Source organism: Homo sapiens, chromosome 15 (assembly GCF_000001405.40).
Source record: "Homo sapiens chromosome 15, GRCh38.p14 Primary Assembly".
Classification (NCBI taxonomy): Eukaryota; Metazoa; Chordata; class Mammalia; order Primates; family Hominidae; genus Homo; species Homo sapiens.
In genome coordinates, this window is record NC_000015.10 from 90,469,058 (window position 1) to 90,488,692 (window position 19,635).

Sequence of the window (19,635 nt, forward strand, 5' to 3'; positions counted from 1 at the left end):
TTGCAGTACTTTCTCAAAGGGGAAGTTACATTGTCATTGATGGACTGTTGAGGACTTTTAAGTTTTAACTTGGTGCTGCACTCCTGTTACTTAAACCAGAGTTGTTTAATGAATGTTAAAGGGGAGGAATATATACTGGGGGAAGATGCTCAGTAAGCTCCTGTAGGTCGTTAGACATATTACTAACAGACATTCAGGATTCCTAGAGAAAAACGACAGTAAAAGATTTTCAAAAGGTCATTTACTTCCCTTTGGCAATATTTCCCAAATCGTGTGTGGAACAAGTCAAAAATACACCTGTGGAAAAACTGAAATAGTCCCTTTATTTAGGAGTTAACATCAGATGGGTGATTTCTACCTTGTGGTTAAAGTTCTCTTTATATGGTGGGTTACAGTCTCTTACCCTTCCAGTGTTTCATCTTCATTGCTAATGATTTCACAGGTGATGAAATTTAAATTCATTGAACTCTGTTCTGGGCATTGAGAAGACAGAAATATGTATCAGAGAGTCTCTACCTTCCATTGTTTCACAGTGTTGTGAAAACAGCAGACACAAAACCGAGTACTGTAATGTAAGGCAGAGAGAAGTGGTGCTCTAATCACAGCACAATAAGGGAAGTCTTAAGGGAATTTTTCATTTTGTCCTGGAGTAACATAGCGTAGATAATATTTTAGCAGCTGAGGAAAAAAAGAAAAGGCTGTTCTAGACAGAAAGGGAAAGTTAAGGATGAGCTTGCTGAAATTATAAAAAGGAAGTAGGAGAGAAAATAGAAAAGGAAAAAGCACAGAGTACTGAAAGGACATGGACCACTGAAGGAGAGGCGAATGGTGTATTACCTGGCACGTGGTAGGAGTGGCAGGACAAGAGGCCCAGGTTGAAGCTTGAGGGCCTAATGTGCTGTGCTAAGGAATTCAGGGTACAACTTCTAGCAGAGTGATTTTTAACTCTTGTTAGTTCAGGGACACCTTTGAGAATCTTATTAACCTCCACAGAAACACTCATGTTTGAATAGTGTTTTGCATATATGGACCTAAGAATTTAAACAGGGAAGGGATGCTACCTCATTTTCAGCATGTGACCTGACCTCTTACCTCTCCTGCCAACAATAGTGGCGATCACATATAGATCCTCCCACTCTACTCACCACTCTGTACTTTGAACTTACTTGGATTTTCACTGATTCCTTCTTCATTTTCTCTCTGGAGGAAACAGCTATCCTTTCTAAAGCTCATTATTGATCTTACTGCTTGATTTCATCCTCTCCCAGTTCCTTGCAGACCTTGTACTTTTTGTGCTCTTCCTCCAGTGCTTGTCAGGATTTAATGTCTGTCTGAATCACCTGGGATCTTGTTAAAATGAAGGCTCTGATTCTAGTGCGAGGTCTGAGAAAATCTGTTTCTGACAAGCTTTCAGGTGATGTTGATGCTGCTGGCCCAAGGACTGTATTTTAAGTAGCAGCCTACATACTTAAGCATCTTTATTTCCCACATCTTTGAAAAAATAATAATACAAAATTTTTTTAAAGCCCATGGAATTTCCCTGATCTGGCCTCACCTACATTCATACTCTTGCTAAGGGCCTTGAAAGTTAGTCTACTCGTCACTAATTCACTCTCTGTTACCATCCACTTCTTGGCTCACAGCAGTGTGGTTTCCTGTCCAGCTTTTACTTAGTAAAACTCTTATTTTAGAATTCATCAATAACCTTTTAATTGCCAAATTCAATTCTGAGCACTCATCATATTTGACTTGTCAAAAGTCTCTTCCTCAAACCCTCAATTCCTTTGGCTTCTGCCATCCAACTCTCTTCTAATTTTCCTGCTTCTAAATGTTCCTTCTTAATCTCTCTTGCTACCTTCCTTTCTCGACCTCTGCTTGAATTATACAAAGAGTCCATTGGCTGCCTTCTCCTACACATTCTTCCTGAGTGATCTCTTTCAAGCCTGTGGCTCTAGCCCTTACCCTTGTGCTTGTGACTCCTAAATCTGTACCTCCAGACGTTAGCCCTTTTCCCCACCACCAGGTTTTTGCCCTTCATTTTGCAGTCCAGAAGTCCAGCAGACACCTCAAACACAGTTTAACAGGAAAAAACCAGAGGCTGCAATAGTGTATAAGGTTGTATTTTTATCTCACATGAAATGATTCTGCAGTTCAGCAGTCCAGGGAAAATGTGGCTTCATGGTATCATCTGTCCCAGGATCCTTCATCTTTGTGCTCTGTCATTCTTAGCATGTGGCTTCCATTCTCAAGGTCACCTTGTCACCTATAATGACAGTTTGGAGCTTTGACCATCAAGTTAGCAGTCCAAGCAGGAAGTAGGAAGAAGGGGAAGGAGAGCAAAAAAGGTGTACTGTCAGCTGTCTGTTTCTCTCAAGGAGCTTTCTCAAAGGTCTTGCCATACTACTACTGCTCACAGCGCATGACCTCGCTCTACCTCATGAAGTCTTTTTTTTTTTTTTGAAGCGGAGTTTCGCTCTTGTTGCCCAGGCTGGAATGCAATGGCGCGATCTTGGCTCACCACAGCTTCCGCCTCCCAGGTTCAAGCGATTCTCCTGCCTCAGCCTCCCCAGTAGCTGGGATTACAGGCATGCGCCACCACACCTGGCTAATTTTTGTATTTTTAGTAGAGATGGGGTTTCTCCATGTTGGTCAGGCTGGTCTCGAACTCCTGACCTCAGGTGATCCACCCACCTCAGCCTCCCAAAGTGCTGGGATTACAGGCGTGAGCCACCACGCCTGGCCACTCGTGGAGTCTTTTAAGTGCATACAGTGTTGCCCAGAAAAAAAAAAAAATCGAGGCTCTGGTACCAAGGAGAAAGGAGAAGGTAGATGTGGATAAGTAACTAGATGTTCCTAACCATTCTTACTGCTGCTGCCCTTGTTCAAGCCCAGGCCATCTGTCACTTGGATCACAATAGCAGCATTGTAATTCACCCACTTGGTTGAAGTCTCTTCTCACTCTAATCTGTCAGCTGCTTTCCTAACAGTATTGTTTTTCTAAAAATAATCTCCACCCTGGGCAATATAATGAGGACTCACCTCTACAAAAAATATTTTTTAAAAAATTAAAATTAGCCAGGTATGGTGGTACACTTGTAGCCCCAGCTACTCAGGAGGTGAGGTGGGAGGATTGCTTGAGCCCAGGAGTTTGAGGCTGCAGCGAGCTGAGATTGTACCACTGCACTCCAGCCTGGATGACAGAATGAAACCTTGTCTCTAAAGTAAATAATAAACATCTGATTGTTTTATTCCTTTGCTTGACAAAATTTCCTGGCTGTCCAGTATCTTTAGTAACAGTCCAAACCCTCTAGGCTACTTTTCAAGACCATTTGCAATCTGCCTGGAGAAGCAATTTTCAGTCCTCACCTCTGGTCTCTCCCCCTGAGATGTCCTGCATTGTGACATTCTAGGGGTCCCTCGGTACGTGGCACACAGCCCTGTTGGGTACCTGTCACTCTGTTCTTGTCTACAGTGACCCCAGATCAGCCAGCACAGTGCCCAGCCTAGTCAGTGTTGGATAGGTAGATAAGTGAGATGACATATGAAGTAAAAGAAGATCAAGTTTTTGTTTATGAAGTGTTTTCTAGGTGGGAGGACGTGTGTGAGAACAACCTAGTCCTAAAAAACAGACCTGAGGGCTTTATTCCTGTTATGTAGCTAATGATCTAGTATAGACTTAGGAAGCAGGAGGTGTTAGCTTGTGTGCTGTGGATGATACTTCGTGAAAACCTGCATCCATTCTTGCCTGTGAATGTCTTTGAATGTGACCACTGCTTTTTCAGAGTTCTATCTCTGGGGTGACTGCCGCATATAACCGAGAACAGCTGTGGCTGGCCAATGAAGGCCTGATCACCAGGCTGCAGGCTCGCTGCCGTGGATACTTAGTTCGACAGGAATTCCGATCCAGGATGAATTTCCTGAAGAAACAAATCCCTGCCATCACCTGCATTCAGGTATTTCAGAACCTATCACACAGACAGCAAGCGGGCATCTAGAGCAGGGGTAATAAACGGTCAGCTGTCACCATTGACTGTCTGAGTGTGTTTTTTGAGTGCTGGACTCTTAGTCTTCTCTTTCCTTTGACAGGTACCTCCTCTTTACTACCATTTAACTGTAGTGTGCCTACAGGTGTTTAATGCTGGCACAGTGGCAGTTCTTGGGTACCTCTTCCTCTCTTCTTCTAAGACTGTACCTTTCTGTAAGATTTGAACCTTGAGGGAAACAACTGTGGTCTGGCTTCAATGATAAGGTAGCACAATGTCCTGGAAAGAATTCTGAGTTAGGAATGATGGCTGCACTACTGCCAGACAGTGGTGAATCTCCAAGTCTTTGTCCCCATCTGTAAAAGGGGAATGCCCCATTGTATCTTATCTTCCTCACCTGGTTTGTTGTAAGAAGCCAGTAAATGAATCTGTATGGCTGCACTGTAAAAGGTGTGCAGGGCTGTGCTGACGTTGGGGAAGTAGAATGTAGCCATCGTGTTCTTCCAGTGGAGGGATGGCCCGTGCCCTTGTTCCCCTGTCACTGCTGGAAGTGGTCCTTCCTAAAACTTCATCATGAAATTGCACTTGGATCATGTATCAAGATGAAAGTTTTTTTTTAACTTCCATTGATGCTTGGGAAGTAATATGTCTTCTGTAACATTTGACTGTTTCAGTCACAGTGGAGAGGATACAAGCAGAAGAAGGCATATCAAGATCGGTTAGCTTACCTGCGCTCCCACAAAGATGAAGTTGTAAAGGTATGGTAGCCTGAACAGGGTTTCTCCATGAGGGGCACAGGTATAACACGTGTTGAGATGAAGGACTCTTCTAATTTCCAGGATCCCTTTTCCACAGATTCAGTCCCTGGCAAGGATGCACCAAGCTCGAAAGCGCTATCGAGATCGCCTGCAGTACTTCCGGGACCATGTAAGCACCCTTGGATCATACAGGCCATTAGGGGCAATTTTGCCATATTTTTGGTAGACAGATGAACAGAGAAATTTCTTCTTTTTTGTTCCTTAGATAAATGACATTATCAAAATCCAGGCTTTTATTCGGGCAAACAAAGCTCGGGATGACTACAAGACTCTCAGTGAGTAACTGGCTCCGCATGAAGAGTTGAGGCAGTGGCTGGGAGCCACCAAGTTCAGGGTATTCTCCACAGACCTCTTTTGTTATCCTGAAGGCAAGGCTTGGGGGAGAGGGTGTGACCTGTGACATAAGCCCCTTTGCTAACATGTGGCTAGGTGTCTTGTTGGCTTGTTGCATTAACCTTTATCATAACATAGCAATAGCCTGACACAGAAGACTGCACCTGATAGTTGTCTTAGCACATCTCAAAATTAAATGTTTATGAATAGACTACTTTTTCAAGACAATGCTATTTCCTGAGACGTAGTACTTTTTCTGCTAACTCCATTCTTTGATGCATACTTTCTGTCAGTCAATGCTGAGGATCCTCCTATGGTTGTGGTCCGAAAATTTGTCCACCTGCTGGACCAAAGTGACCAGGATTTTCAGGAGGAGCTTGACCTTATGAAGATGCGGGAAGAGGTTATCACCCTCATTCGTTCTAACCAGCAGCTGGAGAATGACCTCAATCTCATGGATATCAAAATTGGACTGCTAGTGAAAAATAAGATTACGTTGCAGGTATGGCCCAGTGCCAGCGGGGGCCTTGGAACGGTTCATCCTGCTTTGTAACCCCTGCATTCCCCTTTCTGACTGGTGGGGAGGGTGGAGGCTGACTTTCTCCTCAGCTACTGCCATAAGAGCTTTTTTTTTTTCTTTTGACTGAGTCTCACTCTGTTGCCCAGGTTGTAGTGCGATGTGATCTCAGCTCACTGCAACCTCTGCCTCCCAGGTTCAAGCAATTCTCCTCCCTCAACCTCCTAAGTATCTGGGATTACAGGCACGTGACACTATACCTGGCTAATGTTTTTTGATTTTTGGCTTTTTTTTTTTTTTTTTTTTTGCTGACGGAGTTTCCCTCTCGTCGCTCAGGCTGGAGTGCAGTGGCGTGATCTCGGCTCACTGCAACCTCTGCCTCGCAGGTTCAGCGATTCTCCTGCCTCAGCCTCCCAAGTAGCTGGGATTACAGGCGCATGCCACTACACCCTGGTAATTTTTGTATTTTTACTGGAGATGGCGTTTCGCCATGTTGACCAGGCTGGTCTTGAAGTCCTGACCTCGGGTGATCCACCCGCCTCAGCCTCCCAAAGTGCTGGGATTACAGGCGTGAGCCACGACACCCGGCTTTTTTGCATTTTTAGTAGAGACGGGGGTTTCACCATGTTGGCCAGGCTGGTCTGGAACTCCTGGCCTCAAGTGATTGATCCACTCACCTTGGCTTCCCAAAGTGCTGGGATTACAAACATGAGCCACCATGCCCGGCCATCATAAGCTTTTAAAAAAGTTATGTAAGACAGGTCAGGCATGATGGCTCACACCTATAATCCCAGCACTTTGGGAGGCCGAGAAGGGCGGATCACTTGAAGCCAGGAGTTTGAGACCAGCCAGGCCAACATGGTGAAACCCTGTCTCTACTAAAAATTAAAAAAAATTAGCTGGACATGGTAGTACATGCCTGTAATTTCAGCTACTCAGGAGGCTGAGGTGGAAGAATCGCTTGAACCTGGGAGGCAGAGGTTGCAGTGAGCCAAGATTGCATGACTGCACTCCGGACTGGGTGACAGAGTGAAACTCTATCTCCAAAAAAAAAAAAAAAAAAAAAATTATTTAAGACATAAAACAACTTAATTGACAAAATTTTGATAGAGAAAAGAAGATAAATGTCTTCCCCTAATTTCACCTACCCCAGTCATTTTGTATCTTACATTCTTACTTCATATTAAAGGATAAGACTCTTTCCCTATGATAAGTAGTCATAATTTTTTTTTAATTTTATTTTTTGAAACAGAGTTTCCCTCTGTACCCCAGGCTGGAGTGCAGTGGCATGATCATGACTCACTGCAACCTCGACCTCCTAGGCTCAAGTGATTCTCCCACTTCAGCCTCTCAAGTAGCTAGGACGACAGGTGCATGCCACCACGTCTGGCAAATTATATTTTTATAAGAGATAGGGTATCTTTGTATTGCCCAGGCTGGTCTCAAAACTCCTGGGCTCAGGTGATCCTCCTGCCTCAGCCTCCCAAAGTGCTGGGATTACAGGTGTGAGCCGCTGCACCCAGCCATAAATATTATTTTTAACAGTAGCATATTAGATTTTTAGAAGATATACTATGATTTACCTCTTTTTCCCCTAGTATTTGACATTTAGGTTGTTTTCCAAGCGTTTATTATAAATAACATTGCAATTAATGTTTCAATATATATGTAGCTTTTATTGTATTTAAGACTTATTTTTATAATAGACTGCTGGAAGTTGGTTTGCCAATTCAGTGGACATTCTTATGGCTCAGATTCTTTGTTGGAACATAGGAATGGATTTGACTGGTGTACTGAAAACAGGATAAAGTGTAGTGGTTTTTAAATATTCAGTGGGAATCTGCCAGTGCAGTACACCTTCATGTGAGTTTGCACATGCTGCAAAACCTTTCCTCAATGCCCAGAGGTTCATCTTTGAAAGCTTTCTGATCTATTTATTGGTTTTTGTTTATAGGATGTGGTTTCCCACAGTAAAAAACTTACCAAAAAAAATAAGGAACAGTTGTCTGATATGATGATGATAAATAAACAGAAGGGAGGTCTCAAGGCTTTGAGCAAGGAGAAGAGAGAGAAGTTGGAAGCTTACCAGCACCTGTTTTATTTATTGCAAGTAAGTGGCTCCTGGAATCAGTGTTATAAAAATTTAGTGAATTTATTTTTCCACAAGAAAGCCTTACCATCGATCTCTCTGGAAGTATTTTTGACTTCCACTGAGGGGTGAGTGAGGGGCACTGTAACATGTTAATTTATTAATCTTTTTTCTCATATGTATTGTAGTCCTTCAATTTTAAATAATTGAATATATCTTGCCAGCCTTTATATTACCTACAAATGACTTATCCCTTGGTTTTATTTCAGACCAATCCCACCTATCTGGCCAAGCTCATTTTTCAGATGCCCCAGAACAAGTCCACCAAGTTCATGGACTCTGTAATCTTCACACTCTACAACTACGCGTCCAACCAGCGAGAGGAGTACCTGCTCCTGCGGCTCTTTAAGACAGCACTCCAAGAGGAAATCAAGTATGAACAGATTTCCTCAGGGCACAGGCCCCTTCCCACTATCAGAGGGGCTCCCAGTTTGAGATTCATGCCTTCCTGATCTTTTCTTGATCTCAATTAATTTATGAAAAATACTTACTCTAAAGAAGCATCTAATTTTTAAATAACTGATATAAAATCTTGCTGCTTCTAGGGAAGGGATAAATTAACTTTAGGAACATTCTGTATTAAGGTATAATTTCAAAAAGTAATCTGAACAGAAAGAATTCACATTTTTATCTAGTAGCGGACCCAATCATGACCACGATTGAGCGTGCAGCTGCAGGAACATTCTGTGAGTGCTGGGGAATGTTTCGAGAGAAACTGTTTCAGGGAGATAGGATCTTTAAGCAGGAAGGATCTTTTAAGTTGATGGGTTTTGTGACAAGTTTAAATTTTTATCTGATGTTTTATAGGTCGAAGGTAGATCAGATTCAAGAGATTGTGACAGGAAATCCTACGGTTATTAAAATGGTTGTAAGTTTCAACCGTGGTGCCCGTGGCCAGAATGCCCTGAGACAGATCTTGGCCCCAGTCGTGAAGGAAATTATGGATGACAAATCTCTCAACATCAAAACTGACCCTGTGGATATTTACAAATCTTGGGTTAATCAGATGGAGTCTCAGACAGGAGAGGCAAGGTATGTTAACCATAATGACACTTTTCTTTCATGTTGTTATAGTCTTTCCCTCTTTTTTCCCCTCTCTTTATTTATAAACTAATATTAGTTCAAATAGTTTTTCTTTTCTTTTCTTTTTTTAGACAGAGTTTCACTCTTGTCGTCCAGGCTGGAGTACAGTGGCATAATCTCAGCTCACTGCAGCCTCCACCTCCCAGGTCTAAGCAATTCTCATGCCCCAGCCTCCCGAGTAGCTGGGATTACAGTTGCACGCTACCACACCTGTCTGATTTTTGTATTTTTAGTAAGACTGGGTTTCACCATGTTGGCCAGACTGGTCTCGAACTCCTGACCTCAGGCAATCCATCTGCCTCGGCCTCCCAAAGTGCTGTGATTACAGCTGTGAGCCACCACACCCAGCCTCAAATAGTTTTTCTTTAGAAAACTGTGCTTTCTAAGTTGTTGACCTAGTAATAAATTCACTTATTTAGCAAATATTTATTGAGTATTAACTATGTGCCAGGCATTGTGTTAGAGATGTGTACAGTAATGCAATAATGAGTGAAACAGACATGCTTCCTGCCCTCTCTTCATAGTTCATTGGGTGGAAGAGACACCAACCAGGTACATAAAAATAAAAGCATAATTAAACATTGAAGAAAGTTTTATGAAGTTTTATGTACGGTTCTTTAATGGAGACTTTATAAGAGGGAGCTAACATAAGGTGGTTAGGGAAAGCCTATCCCGGAAGATAAAATTTCATTTAGCTGAGGCCCTAAAGCTAAGATGAACCCAGCCTTACTAAGAGCTAGGTGCAGAGTGTTTATGTCTGAACACTCTAAGCTGGAGGGTGTAGGACTTAAATGGACCCTGGCATAACTAGGGATACAGTTGAATGAGAAGGTTCATATAGATTGGGTGAGATCACTGTGTTTCATTAAAGGAAAAAGAAAACGGTGTGGAGTGAGCTTCCCTGAAATATCGTGAGTTGGGCTAATTAAATTAACGTATTACAGGAGATAGCTGAGCTAGGGCCATAGCGTAACCACCAACATTCATTTATCTAAAGCAAAAGTGTGCCAATCAAATATTGGTAATGCTGGGAAAAGGGAGTTCAGAATGCCAAAACGTTTCTGGTTTTATTTGTCTTGGGTGAGGACCCAGAGGGGTGGGAGATGGAGGTGTGAGCAGCATGGTCTGTTGTGGTTTTTTCTTGTTGTGGAGTAGAGTTAGATCATGCATGAAGCTCTCTGGGCATAGGTGGAGTAGCAGCTGTCCACACCATTGCTATTCAAAGTGTGGTTTGCACACCAGTAATGGAAAATCATCTGTGCACACTGTTTAGTTTAACTGATACTTTTTTTTTCATAGCAAGATTTTCTTAATGAAGGAAGTAATGTATTGATTTACATTCTGACTCATTGTCTTTATCTTGTCTTTGATCAGTTTGTAGACTGGCACTGGTCCACACTTTGAATAACACTATTCTTCATTCTACTTTCCATGTACCCGGATGCCAGGCAAACAGGGAGTTTTACGCTGGGTGGAGAACGGAACATTCTGCTGACTCCTTGAAAGGGCTTATCTCACCAGCCATGGTAGCTCACGACTGTAATCCCAGCTCTTTGGGAGGCTGAGGTGGGAGGATTGCTTGAGCTCAGGAGTTTGAGACCAGCCTGGGTAACATAGGGATACCTTGTCCCTACTTAAAAAAAAAAAAAAAAAAAATTAGCTGGGTGTGGTTGTGCACACCTGTAGTTCCAGCTATTCCAGAGGCTGAGGCAGGAGGATAGGTTGAGCATGGGAGGTTGAGGCTGCAGTGTGCCTTGATGGCGCCACTGCACTCCATCCTGGTTGACAAAAAAAGAAAGAAGGGGCGTTTCCTTATTAGGAATCATTTGGCATCTGATTGGTTCTCAGTACCATGTAGGTCTGTTATCAGGACTCAGATCATTGCAAAAGTCTTTTTAATTTTTTTGCCTGCATACCTGAGGCCCACATCCAGGAATGTGGTCAGCCAAGTGCAATACTTGTCTGGGAAGTTTTGCCTGCAACCCAGGGCATTCCTTGCCGATAGCCCCATGTACACTGGCTCCGGGCTTCTCAGTTATTTCCTCTGATGGTCCATGAGTCAGTCATTTTCAGATCCAAAGCCCGCTGGACATTTCAGGATTGGTTTTCTTGTGGGTACCTATAAGAAACTGGTGTCTTATTTTGCCTTTCATAAAATGGAAATTGAGCCAGGCATGGTGGCATGCACCAGTAGTCCCAGTTGCTCAGGAGGCCAAGACAGGAAGATCGCTTGAGCCCAGGAGTTTGAGCACTGCCTGGGCAATGTAGACCCCATATCTTAAAAAAAAAAAAAAAAAAAAAGGAAATTGATTTGAACTCTTTTTAAGATACCAGTGACTGTGAGGGATGGTGGTGTGGTGGGGATCTGTCCTGCAGGTAAGCATCACAGGTCCCTTAGCTTTCTTCTTTTACTTCAGCCACCATACACGTAGCAAACTGGAATCTTGTCACCTCTTGGGAATGTTCTTTCCTAAAATCTCAAAGTTAATGTTCTGTTCTATCACCAACGTTTTTTAGCATATTGATTCCCTTGCTGGTTACTACTTTTAAAACTCATATAAATAATAAAATATACAATATTCTTTATTGTTAAGTTCCATGTATTTATTTATTTCTCATAGAATGTTTCTGTTGATTTTTGCAGAATTTTTGTGTTCATAGTCTACCAATTTTAATTTAGCCATGCTATGACAAATGAAGAGGGGTATCCCTATCTACTTGTATTTTTCTTTTTGTTGTTGTGGTTGAGACAGAGTCTCGTTCTGTTGGTCAGGCTGGAGTGCAATGGTGTAATCTCAGCTCACTGCAACCTCTGCCTCCCTGGTTCAAGCGATTCTGCTGCCTCAGCCTCCCGAATAGCTGGGATTACAGGCATGCGCCACACGCCTGGCTAATTTTTGTATTTATAGTAAAGATGGGGTTTCTCCATGTTGGCCAGGCTGGTCTCAAACTCCTGACCTCAGGTGATCCACCCGCCTCGGCCTCCCAAAGTGCTAGGATGACAGGCGTGAGCCACCACACCCGGCCTCTACTTGTATTTTCTAAGGCTGCCATAACAAATCACCTCAAATTGGGTGGCTTAAAACAACCGAAAGTCATGGTCTCACAATTGTGGAGGCCAGAAATTTGAAACCATTATCATGAAGTCGAGGTGCTGGAAGAGCCACGCTCCCTGCAGAGGCTCTAGTGGAAACTCTGTTTCTTGACTCTTAGAGCTTGTGGTGACTGTTGACATCCCTCAACTTGTGGCTGTGTGGTTCCAGCCTCTGCCTTTGTGGTCACATTGCCTTCTCTTCCCCTTCTGTGTGTACCAAAGCTCTCTCTGCCTCTTTTTTTTTTTTTTTTTTTTTTTTTTAAGACAAGGTCTTGCTCAAGCAGTCCTCCCACCTCAGCCTTCCTAGTAGCTGGGAATGCTAGCATGTGCTGCTGTGCCTGGCATAGCACTCCTATCCTTGAAGACCTCCTTCTGGTTTCTAACAAAGTCCAGATTTGTCAGTATCATATACGGGGTCTGTCATGGCCTGCTCCCTGTCTGCTTTTCCACTGTCATTTCTCCTGTCTCCCCTTCCTTCCTAGAAGACTCTTCCTCTCCTTTTTTCCTGAGTTCAAGCATCCCTTCGTTTTGGAAGCTTTCCTTGCTTTTTCCATTCTGAGTTGAAGCCCTTTCCCTATGGTCCTGTGGCACTTTTGGTGAACTGATTTACAGCACAATAGGTTTATAATCATCTGTTTGTGTGTCGCTCCCACCAGACTGTAAAAGACTGAAGAGAAGGTGTCATGTCTTGTATAACTTTTATTCCCAAGTGCCTGTTATTGTGCCTGGCACACAATTCAGGCACCTGATTCACAGTTAAAAACCTGCGTTCAGATTCTAGACTTATCACTTACCAGCCCCGTGAGGATGAGCTTAAGCTATCTAATATTTCTGGGTCTTATAGTTTATGAAAGATAAGACACTTGCTTCAGGCTGTTCCTGGCTGTTAGTCTAACATAGTTGGGTATAATTTCTGTCTTCCCAGCAAACTGCCCTATGATGTGACCCCTGAGCAGGCGCTAGCTCATGAAGAAGTGAAGACACGGCTAGACAGCTCCATCAGGAACATGCGGGCTGTGACAGACAAGTTTCTCTCAGCCATTGTCAGCTCTGTGGACAAAATCCCGTGAGTGCCATCAGTTGTCATGACCCCCAGTAGAACCCAGCACTAAGTGCCTTTCTGCTCCTTGGCCCTTCTCACTAAGTTTTGTCCATCCCGCAGTTATGGGATGCGCTTCATTGCCAAAGTGCTGAAGGACTCGTTGCATGAGAAGTTCCCTGATGCTGGTGAGGATGAGCTGCTGAAGGTAAGAATCTCATAGCCGGCAGACTCCTGCCCTTTGAGGACAAAGCAATAAAACCAGGGCTGACCATAGATCATTACTAACTGCCTAAGTGTAGGTTCTGGCAGTAGCTTACCATTGATTGTGAGCTTTTGAAAGCAATTGTAATTGGTAAATGGTACCTCTCTTAGGATGAAACACTTCCTATAGTTTGGCACACAAACATCAAACAAGTAGAAAGATGGATTTTTCCTGTTTTCAGATGAGTTTCTTTGAGTCCTATCTTTTCGCTGTAGTATTGTTCCCTCTGCTGGTGACCTGGCGAATAGTAGCAGGCACAGTTGTTTCTGCTAAGGCTGTTGCTGATAACTCTTTCTTACTCAGCTATGCTCTTCTCTTTTCTTTTTTTTTTTAATCTGAATGCTTTTTTCTTCTCTCTCCTAGTTCTGTGCTTTCCTACAGTGAGGCCTCGATTCTAGACTTTCTGTTCAGGTGAATTAATTTTATTTCTTCTGAATGAAACTCTAGGGGAAATGCTGTGACTGCCCCTGAATTCTTCTGTGGAAGAGATGTGTGTTAAGTGAATTTAATTTCAGAGGCATGAACTTGGCCTTTGAAGTCTGCAGCATGAGAATGTTGGGAGGTGGGGTTACTCTATGCTGATTGGGTCATGTTAAGGAATTTAGCTATGTTTGTTAGCTTTTTATAAGGAAAGCCCATCTACATGAAAGTACAAAGTGCATGTGGGTGACAGCAGCCTTATTTGCTACCATGATATGTGAACAAAAGATGCCCTGAAATACTTAATAACAGACTTTAAGTGTGTCATTTTTACCTTCTGAATCTGCTCTTTCATTAACTACTGGCAGTAGTTTTCAGTTCTGTTCTCATTGTTTTCCTGTATTGAACAAAGGGATATTTCATTTAGTTCCAGGCCATGAGAGAGAGTGTGTATATGTGCATGCATGCGTGTGTATATGTATTTTTTATTTATTTTTTCCTCATAGGACTGCATTTTCTGCTTTTCTTTGCTAGCAAAGTCATTTATAGCTTCCTTGGTGGTATGTCTTTTAATACCCATCTTTCTGTTTCGTCTGTTCCAGATTATTGGTAACTTGCTTTATTATCGATACATGAATCCAGCCATTGTTGCTCCTGATGCCTTTGACATCATTGACCTGTCAGCAGGAGGCCAGCTTACCACAGACCAACGCCGAAATCTGGGCTCCATTGCAAAAATGCTTCAGCATGCTGCTTCCAATAAGATGTTTCTGGGAGATAATGCCCACTTAAGCATCATTAATGAATATCTTTCCCAGTCCTACCAGAAATTCAGGTAAGGGGAAAGGCACAAGTGCTTAAGAGAGTCTGTGGATGTATTTTTATTGTTGAGGGGAAAAATAAGATTAAAAACCACCTCTCACTTTCCCCGGACTGCCATATGTAGAAGACGTGTTTGATGTGCCCAGGATTCCAGAAGATGATCCATTTACTTTGAAGAGAATTTTCATATGAAATAGATAGTAGTTAACACTTATGAAATAGATAGTAGTTAACATAAAAATAATGATGATTATGCATTTAGTACATGTTACCTTGTAATCAGAGAAGAATTGGAGAATGCTTTTAATTTTTGTAAATTAACATCTAGTTTTGAATTCAGTGCTTCAGAGCACTGTCTTAGAGATAGAATTGGTTCTCCTAATGGTGTCTGGAAACTTTTAAGTCATGGTGCAATGGTTCTTATGGGTAAAACTAAAACTACAAACTAGGTGGAGAAAGAAGTTATTCGAACCACTATCCCAAGGTTGTCAAGCACAGCAAACACACAGCACTTTCTCTTGAAGTAACTGTTGACTGGCTTCTGTTTGCACTCATTGTGTGAGAGGTTTGTGAAATGTCCTCTTGCCAACTTCATGTGTATGTCCCTTTTTGGGGGGCTGCCTCCTGTGCTTATTTCAGACGGTTTTTCCAAACTGCTTGTGATGTCCCAGAGCTTCAGGATAAATTTAATGTGGATGAGTACTCTGATTTAGTAACCCTCACCAAACCAGTAATCTACATTTCCATTGGTGAAATCATCAACACCCACACTGTAAGTATTTTTCTTTAATTACTTAATTTCATTGTCCTTAATTATTATCCCTGGCTGCTGCTTATCATCTCTGGTAGCCAGGTGTCTAACCTTCCTGTAATCTAACTGACAATGCATCTCCTTGATGTCTCTTTTTTTGCTTGTTATTCTTTTTTGTTTATTTATTTATTTTTTGAGACAGAGTCTCACTGTGTTGCCCAGGCTGGAGTGCAGTGGCGCGATCTCGGCTCACTGCAAGCTCCACCTCCTGGGTTCACACCATTCTCCTGCCTCAGCCTCCCGAGTAGCTGGGACTACAGGCACCCGCCACCGTGCCTGGCTAAATTTTTTGAATTTTTGGTAGAGACGGGGTTTCACTGTGTTAGCCAGCATGGTGTCGATATCCTGACCTCATGATCTGCCCACCTCGGCCCCCAAAAGTGCTGGGATTACAGGCGTGAGCCACCACGCCTGGCCTTTTGCTTGTTATTCTTAACAGTATCTACTGCTAAGTTTCTAAAAGGTCTTCCCAGGCCACCTGCATCAGAATCCTATGGGCTGATAGTTAAAAATGAAGTTTCCTGGACACCGCCCCAGGCCTACTGAATCAAAATCCCACTAAATTTATCTATTGCCTTAATAAAATAGTGCTTTTACTCTTCTTTCTTTTTACCCTAGCTCTCTGCGTTATTTTTCTAACATGATCTAGAATACTAGCTTTCTCTGTGTAGCCTTGGAGTGGATTTTTCCCTTGGAAGCTGGAGCTCCATGTTTCTTCAGATTTTTCAAATCATTTTTTCCCCTCTGGGGACATGGACATGTAAAACAGGAACAAGGGCATATGTTAAAATGTAAATGAAATTTCAGGTTACTGTCATTTCTGAGGGCATCACTGGGGATAATGGCACCTTGAAGACTTTGTTGAGTGCCCCTACAATAATTATAACATTGATTTGGTATACTTTTCTCTGAATTAAATCATGTCATACACTGGAAACATTAAGTAAAAGCGTGCACGTGACTTATTTGAACTGGCAGTAGGGTACATTGATGACTTTGGGTATTGAACTTTGAGTTTCAGTGTTTTGTGGGTTTTTTGTGTTTGTTTGTTTTGTTTTGTTTTTTTGAGATGGAGTCTTGCTCTGTCACTCAGGCTGGAGTGCAATGGCGCAATCTTGGCTCACTGCAACCTCCACCTACTGGGTTCAAGCAATTCTTCTGCATCAGCCTCCCTAGTAGCTGGGATTACAGGCACACACCAGCACGCCCAGCTAATTTTTGTATTTTTAGTAGAGACAGGGTTTCATCATGTTGTCCAGGCTGGTCTTGAACGCCTGACCTCAGGTGATCCACCCGCCTTGGCTTCCCAAAATGCTAGAATTACAGACGTGAGCCACTGCACCCAGCCAGTGTTCTTTCTCAAACAGGGCACATTTGAATCCTTTATGGCCATGAGGTTAAGAGAATACCAGTATTTCCTCTTCTTATATCATAACATAAGTCATTCAACAGAGCCTGGTGTGGTGCCTTATATATCATATTGTTTATTTGGGTTAGTTTGCTGAGGATTTGCTTGTTGTTTCTTTGAATATAGGAACTTTGTTGGAACCTCTTTGTGCAGATCATTGTTAGACATTCTAGGGAGGGACGGGCTGAAGAGTTGAATGTATAAATGGAGTTGATCATTGGTGTTTGCAGCTCCTGTTGGATCACCAGGATGCCATTGCTCCGGAGCACAATGATCCAATCCACGAACTGCTGGACGACCTCGGCGAGGTGCCCACCATCGAGTCCCTGATAGGTAGAGTTCTAACTTTTGCCTGGAAGATCAAAAGGGAATGTGACAGAAAAGTGTTGTAATTGTCACCTCCTCTATTTTTTGCACTATACCAAACTCTGGATATACATTGAGAAATAAAATAGATGTGATCCTGATAGTTTCATAAGAGAGAAAACAACAACAACAACAAAAGCCCAGATGTGATCAATATCTATAAGGAACTGGAGTCAGAGGAAAAGATCATTTTAAACGCAGATACATACTGCCAGCTTGTGTTTTTTTAAAAAAATTGCAGATACATAAATTAAAAGTCCTCTAAAGGAAAGAATTTTTTTGTTTGTTTGTTATGAGACAGGGTCTCCCTCTGTTGCCCAGGCTGAAGTACAGTGGTGCAGTCATAGCTCACTGCAGCCTCAAATTCCTAGGCTCAAGTGATCCTCCTGAGTTGTTTTTTTTTTTTTTAATAGAGATGGAGTCTCACTATGTTGCCCAGGCTGGTCTCGAACTCCTGGCCTCAAGCCATCCTCCTCCTTTAGCCTTCCAAAGTGCTGGGATTGCAGGACTGAGCCACTGCACCCAGCCAGAAAGAATGTTTTCAGAGAGAATTGTGATATTGTAGTGTTGAAATGATTTCTCAAACATTTATGGAGTTATTATGGATCCCTTGCCTTTATCATTTGGCATAACATTTTATTTCTCAGTAAAAGTTGTTCTCGTCACACTGTATGTGTTAGGTGATTCAAGTATTATCTTAGACTTGCATCATCTTATATTTGTATTATTTCCCCCCAATATCTCCTCTCTTTATTACGCTGACTCTTTCCACCCTCCCAAAACTTCAGGGGAAAGCTCTGGCAATTTAAATGACCCAAATAAGGAGGCACTGGCTAAGACGGAAGTGTCTCTCACCCTGACCAACAAGTTCGACGTGCCTGGAGATGAGAATGCAGAAATGGATGCTCGAACCATCTTACTGAAGTGAGTATCAAAAGAAGGAAGAATGAAATGAATGTAATCTGAAGGTTTCTTGGCCTTTGGAGAGGAACCTGCTGGGTCCTACCTGAAATGACCATCCTGACCTCTCGTACTTGTCATAATCCCAGTCACCAATCACCTCGCATATTGTACTTGGTACAGGACTTATCTGCCTTATTTTGCTAATATGCTACAGTGAAATGTAAATCTTGGAAATCCTAACCCTCGTACCTACTTATGGAATGGCTGGGTAAATAAGCCTTGTGCCTTGAGTACTGTGTACTGGCAGCTGCCGCTTGGGACTTCTGTGAGGTACTGTTTGTGCTGCTGCTGCTGCTGCTGCTTCGGTCCACTTGAGAGGAACTAGAACACTGGTAATATTTAAATGCCTCCCCCATCTCGTTTCAGTACAAAACGTTTAATTGTGGATGTCATCCGGTTCCAGCCAGGAGAGACCTTGACTGAAATCCTAGAAACACCAGCCACCAGTGAACAGGTAAAATTTAGGGTCTAACATACTCCTTTGTTTGGTAGATAAGCTCTCCCGATAGGCGCATGTCAGAGAAAGGAGGGGAGACACAAATAACAGTTGGTAGCCTAGGGGTGAGCATGAATGTAACTGGGGGACAGTGGTAGTTATGGCTCGTCTGAGAAAGTTTTTGCTTCCTGAGTCCAGGTGATGTCCTTTGGACAGGAAGCTCACTGGCACTTGCATGCAGAATCATTGTGCCCATCCCGTATATCCATCCCTTGGTATCCACAGGCGATTCTTTCCAGCACCCATTCTCCCCACCCCCGGCCAATACCAAAATCCATAGATGTTGAAGTCCCTTATATAAAATGGTGTAGTATTTGGCCGGGCATGGTGGCTCATGCCTGTAATCCCAGCACTTTGGGAGGCTGAGGTGGGTAGTTCACGAGGTCAGGAGATTGTGACCATCCTGGCTAACACGTGAAACCCCGTCTCTACTAAAAATACAAAAAATTAGCCAGGCTAGGTGGTAGATGCCTGTAGTCCCAGCTACTTGGGAGGCTGAGGCAGGAGAATGGCATGTACCCAGGAGGCGGAGCCTGCATTGAGCCAAGATCGCACCACTGCACTCCAGCCTGGGCGACAGAGCGAGACTCCGTCTCAAAAAATAATAATAAATAAATAAATAAATAAATAAATAAATAAAATGTTGTAGTATTTGCATATACTTACGTTCTCCCATATACTTTAAATCATCTCTAGACTACTTATAATACCTACTACAATATAAATGCTGTGTAAATAGTTGTTACTGTATTTTTAAAATTTGTATTATTTTGTATTGTTGTATTTTTTTTTCAAACAGTTTCAGGGTTGGTTGAAACCATGAATGTGTAGGGTTCACTGCAATTTATTGAATATTATATATTTTGAATTCTGTTACATGCCTTGGTAGATAGAAGAAAAGTACAGAATGTGGCTCCTAAACTCAGTGAACCCATGGTCTTGTTGGGGAAATGTGACATATATACCTGAAACAGTGATGAACTGTTTCAAAATTAACTATGTTACTGACTGAAAAATAAGAGAAGTTTCAGGAAAGAGGCCAGTGAAGCAGTGCATTAGGAAGCTTCC

The 19,635-nt window shown here is 42.6% G+C and overlaps 1 protein-coding gene across 2 annotated transcripts in view; it reads left to right on the top strand.

Annotated features, from left to right (window-relative positions):
• IQGAP1 (IQ motif containing GTPase activating protein 1) overlaps nt 1-19,635 on the top strand; it is a 113,998-nt gene that overhangs the window by 80,816 nt on the left and 13,547 nt on the right. Inside the window, exons 19-33 of one of the 2 annotated variants that reach the window (NM_003870.4) lie at nt 3,783-3,953; nt 4,658-4,741; nt 4,839-4,910; nt 5,007-5,076; nt 5,428-5,636; nt 7,606-7,761; nt 8,010-8,173; nt 8,608-8,832; nt 12,903-13,043; nt 13,140-13,224; nt 14,304-14,536; nt 15,163-15,295; nt 16,973-17,075; nt 17,897-18,032; nt 18,438-18,525. In NM_003870.4, coding sequence (NP_003861.1) covers nt 3,783-3,953; nt 4,658-4,741; nt 4,839-4,910; nt 5,007-5,076; nt 5,428-5,636; nt 7,606-7,761; nt 8,010-8,173; nt 8,608-8,832; nt 12,903-13,043; nt 13,140-13,224; nt 14,304-14,536; nt 15,163-15,295; nt 16,973-17,075; nt 17,897-18,032; nt 18,438-18,525 — 2,070 coding nt within the window. Of the gene's footprint in view, nt 1-3,782; nt 3,954-4,657; nt 4,742-4,838; nt 4,911-5,006; nt 5,077-5,427; nt 5,637-7,605; nt 7,762-8,009; nt 8,174-8,607; nt 8,833-12,902; nt 13,044-13,139; nt 13,225-13,644; nt 13,693-14,303; nt 14,537-15,162; nt 15,296-16,972; nt 17,076-17,896; nt 18,033-18,437; nt 18,526-19,635 lie in introns of those variants that run through there. The other variant, XM_047433204.1, reaches the window with a different exon arrangement.